The 5435-nt window shown below is 43.7% G+C and overlaps 1 annotated feature.

Moving 5' to 3' along the window:
• Positions 510–1286: an enhancer, noted in NCBI's record as "VISTA enhancer hs124". NCBI's record gives its function as "enhancer in: neural tube[9/9]" and the evidence as "EXISTENCE:transgenic organism evidence [ECO:0001131][PMID:17130149]".

A 5435-nucleotide genomic window follows, 5' to 3' on the forward strand; every position in this document is an offset into this window, starting at 1 on the left:
ATTTGTGTTTTAGATGCAGGAGGTACATGTGCAGATTTGTTACGTGGGAATATTGTGTGACGCTGAGGTTTGGAATACAGATCCCATCACCCTGGTAGTGAGCATAGGATCCAATAGGTAGTTTTTTTTACTCACTACCCCTTCCTCCACCCTCTAGTGGTCCACAGTATCTATTGTTTCCTTAATTATTTTCATACGTACTCAGTGTTTAGCTCCCACTTATAAGTGAAAAATATGGTATTTGGTTTTCTGTCACTGCATTGATTTGCTTAGGATAACAGCCTTTGGTTCTATCCATGTTACTGCAAAGGACATGATTTCAGTTTTTATGGCTGCATAGTATTTCATGGCACATATGTATCATATTTTCTTTATCCAATCCACCCATTGATGGGCACCTGGGTTGATTCCGTGTCTTTGCTATTGTGAATAGTGCCGTGATGAACATATCCAAAAGAAAATAAATCGTTGTACCAAAAAGAAACATGCACTCATATTTTTTTTATTGTTAATATTCTTTTGCAGGCTCACCTCCTAGCTTTAGAATCAGGATTTTAGCCTTCCTCTGAAAAGACTGGGTAAACCACACAGGGTAGACTTCCAGAAAGTCTGCCCCTGTCCCTCCCCAGCCTGGGCACTGGAATCCCCCATGAAGAGACCCTGCCATGTATGACCCAGCATGGGGTTCCTAATGGAAAATGGCCAGGCTATTAGAGCTTTGCAAATTAAGGGTCCTTTCATTTATTACTATGCTCTGCTAAGGATGAGCATTAATTTTTTTCTCAAAGCAAATTCACTGGAAACAGACAGTTTAGAATTTATGCTTGTAATGATGGCTACATGGGCCATTAAGACCACCTCTAAGTGAGCTTAATTTGTAGCAGATAAATGTATATGTCTACATATTTTTCAACATAGTTTATGGTGCATCTTGCACAGCTGCGCCCAACTGATTAAATCCTCACAAAATTTAAATAGGAAATCCATTACGTAGACAGTATTATAGCCATTCATCATGGAAGCTGTTTCAGGTTAACTCTTTCAGTGCCAGGCTGAGGGAAGTGCCAAGATTTTTTCTGGGGTGTGGGGCAGGTCAAGAATGCAGGGGCTCCCTGTTCCCTTTCCCTTTTTGTTTCTACATTCCTGGGGGTGCAGGGAGCTCTTAGTACAGGGAACTTTTGAGCACAGGGAGAATAGACTCCAGGCTCACAGAGGCAGTTGGATCCTTGCTGTCTAGTAGTGGAGGTCTTCACAGCACCTATGCATACCCCAGGTTGTTCACACAGCGCTGGTCAGAGCATCCAGACCAGAGCAAATCCATCTCAGCAGTTCCCTGCCAGCTACTGAACCTGCTTAAATCTCAGCAGAGCACAAGAAGCAGCAGAGTGGAGTAGTGGTGGAAGAGTGATCAGAGCATGTGCTCTGGCCTCAGTAGCCATGGGTATAAGGTTCCGCTCTGCTGCCTGCTGGCAGAGTGCAATCCTGGGCAAGTTATCAGAGTGCAGTCCTGCCAAGTGCTTAGTCCTGTGTCTGGAACATCGTCCATGCTCAATGATTGGAACCTTGTTATTATCATTGTTACTATTTCTAATAGACACTGTCACTGCTCCACACACAGCCCCCTGGTATTTGTCATTCCAATGCTCACCAACTGCAAACACCCAAAGATTTTTGCTTGAGGAAATTTATGCAAGTAAATGATCAGAATTTACTGGGATGGACCCCAGGTTCTCCAAATTCAAGCTCTTTCCATGACTCCAATTTCAAGGGAGTTTTGTTATGGAAGAGGTTATACAGGTGGTATCCCTTTGTTACTTTTATTTTTAAAATTTTATTTTAGCTTCAAGGGTACATGTGCAGATTTGTTATATAGGTAGATTGCATGTCACAGGGGTTTGGTGTACAGATTATTTCATCACCCAGGTAATAAGCATAGTGCCTGATAGGTAGGTTTTTGATTCTTTCCCTCCTCCCACCCTCCCCACTCAAGCACACATGGTATAGTCATTTAATACAAAAATATATGTCCAAACATTTTCATTAGGATCCTTTAGGGTCTTTTTCTAAATGTATCTTCAGGATATGGGGAAGTGGCAATTTAAAAAGAAAATGAGCTCCTGATGAACATTCAATGAAGAAATCAGTATTTCTTGAGCACCTCTTCCCAGTCAAGTCTTTCAGATCTGAGTTCAAGTCTGTCTCTGACACTGCCTGTGTGATTTTGGACAAGCTACTTAACCTCTCTGAGTCTAAGTTTCCATCTCTATAAAATTGAGAAAGGAATGTCCCTACTTAACATGAACATTGTGATGGCAAAGTGGAATTGTCCACCTGAAGCCTACTGTGCTTGGCACTGGGGTTTTATGACTCAAGGACACTGACGTCAACTTGTTCCCAGTTTGAAATAGAGATCAGACTTGAATACAGAGAATTTTAATTCAATGAGATGCATTCAACAATTGAAATATATTCATGTCATTTCAAGAGAAACTGTTTCTATGAGAGGTGACTGTCAGAGAAGGCTTCCTGTAGGTAGTGATGTCAGAGCTGAGTGTCAGAGGAGGGGAAGGGATGAAGTTTTCCAACCCAACAAGGAAAGGAGGGCATGCTGGGATGGAAGTGATGTGTGCATGGCAGGGCAGAACCGTGAGTCCTTTGCAGCCACCACTGCTTTGGTCTTGCTAAAGCCTCTACCTTACAGCAGCAAGGAGGGAGCAGGAAGGCAAGTCAGGGGCTGGAGGCAAGTGGCGTCAGTATCTTGATGGGCCCTGCCTGCCATTATCTAAAGCTGAGACTTGATCCTGATGTTAACAGGGAAACTTTGGACAGTTTTAATCAGGAGCATGATGAAACTGAATTTGCATTTTAGAAGGATCTCCTTTGCAGCCACACGGAGAATAGCTTGAAAGGGAGTAGAATAGCATCAGGGGGAGCAGTTAGGAGACAATGGCAGGTGTCTCATTAGTGGTGGAGATGAGGGTCTGGGGCAGTGGGAATATGGGTGGAGAGACTCTCTGGAAGCAGAATCATCAGATTTGGTGATTGATTACAGGTGGAGAGTGAGGGTGGGGGCAAAGAGGACACTAAGTCTACAGCTTGGAGCCAGCCAAGGCAGAAGGGTGGCTGGCTGGGAGGGAGGAGGACAAGGACATGGGACCACTTGGGACCTGTTGTGTTTCAGATGACTTTGGTGGTAAATTTGTATTTTTATCTTTTGGTCTCAATCTAGCAAGGATCCTTTGGCCTGACACAATACCTCCCAGAACAAAAAAAAAAAAAAAAAAAAGAAGAAATTGATGGATGCGTAATTTACTCTAAAACCCCAGCAGATGACTGTTGGCACCCAGCAAATCTCCTTCCTGTAAACTGTGTTTTGATACAGTGAAGACTCTGACTGGCTGTTTATTAACTCCGGGGTCACAAGTAAACAGCGTGCTTCAAAATGTGGCCAATTAAGGACAAAGTGGAGGTGTGGGCCGCCTCGCTCTCTGTTTGAAAGGAATCAAGTGAAATGTTCTAAGTGTTCAATTTCACCTGTCAGAGATACTGAGCCATCACTACTGGGTGCCCAGTTCTCAGAGTCTGTGCAGTTTATTAGCACATCATCCTTCTTCTAAAGAACTGTGCAATTCACTTCCTGGACATCAGTTAAGGGAGCAGAGGGGAGGCTTCCTCTTCCTCTGTGACCCTTATAAAACATTCTTTCCTCTATCTCGAATGAACAGGCACAGGAAGCAGCCTTAAGAAAAGGGAAACTAATACAGAAATACCTGGTATGTGGCAGACATCATGCTTATAACTTCATTACACTCATGAATGAATGGTGACGGGGGTGGCATTCACCACCGCTTGCTTGGGGCTTATCCCTGGCCAGCACTGTGCTAAGTCCTGTACATGCATTATCCCATCTAATACTTTCAACAACTCTAAAACTCTGCAGATCCTATGGTTATCCCCATTTTACAGATAAGAAAAATGAGGCTGGATCGATTAAATAACATGATCACCATTATAGTCAGTCAGCGGCAGAGCTGACTGATTTATATATAAATCATGATTGTGGGCTCTTTACAAATGTGTGGCTGCCTGAGCCACATGGGTTGATGTCCCTGCATTCTTCTTATTGTCCCCAGTGGACACTGAGCAGCTATGGACTGCACAGAGTAGGTGCTCATGAAATGTTTGCAAATTGGGATACCCCAGGTTCCCTCTGCCTCTGTGCTTACACAGCTATTCCTCCTCCTTCCTGGAAGGTCACCTCGTTCACTATCTGTCTTTCCCTTTTTTCAAGTTTAGCCCAGTTTCACCTTCTCCAGGAAGTGCCACCTGATTAGCTTCTTTGTCTGGTCTCTCCAGGTACATCAGTCAAGACTGCTCCTGCTACTACATCCATCTATGCTGGTCTAACTTGGGTTCTTCAGTGCCTGTGTGTGAGTGTGTGTCTATGCATGTGTGTTTTAGTGTGAGTTTACCTGTGTGTGTGTGTGTCTGTCCTTGAATAGATCCCCTGATCTTCTAGTCCAGGGATTACTTTCAACATTTCCTCCATTGGATAAAATTCATCTCTGTGACTGGCAACCCAGGCATCTATTATCCGGCTATTTTCAATCAAAACTTACCTGTTTTTTGCCACTTTCTGTGTAATCTTGGACAGGATTAATTTACCTCTGTGATTAATATTCTCATCTGTAAAAATGGGGGTAATATTAGCACCCACCTCCAAGGATTATTTTGAAGATTAAATAATATGTAGACAGCTTTTAGTACATCACCTGATCCTAAGTAGGTGCTTAATAAATGGTAGCTACTATCATCGTGGGGTCAACAAAGAGCTATAGAACAGCTTACATGTTAATAAGAACAGTCCCTTTCATGTGCAAAGCACTTCACAGGTTTTGAGGAGTTTCTCCATACATTGCCTCCTTTGATTCATATAACAACACTGAGAGACAGAGAGAGCGGGAAACAGAAGAGTTTATCATCTCCTTGTGCAGTTGTTATTTCTGGAAAGAACCTCACAACTGTCCTGTGGTTTATCAATGGGCTCTAGAAGATTTCTGAACCGCTAAAATTAGATGTGGATTAGTTATGCATGCATGTTTGTGATATTATTCTGAAGAGAGGACCCCATTGCTGCCTTAGATTCTCAAAGGCCCCTCAGATCTCAAAAGGCCAAGAACCATTGGTCTAAGCCAACTGTCCTTATTTTATAAGTGGAGCTACTGTGGCCCAGAGAGAGAAAGGGACATGTCATAATGCTCACAAGTTAAACAGAGCAGGGCCTGGGGCCTGGTGTTTTGAGCCCCAGGCCAAGGTTCCATCTACCCCCGACTCAGCCTAGCCTAGACAGGTGTGTGGTGAGGACAGCCACCAGCCGGGGCCTGCCAGGGCCTGAATGAGGGCAGCCTGGCTGAGGACCATCACAGCATCAGAAG

Source organism: Homo sapiens, chromosome 16 (assembly GCF_000001405.40).
Source record: "Homo sapiens chromosome 16, GRCh38.p14 Primary Assembly".
Lineage (NCBI taxonomy): Eukaryota > Metazoa > Chordata > Mammalia > Primates > Hominidae > Homo > Homo sapiens.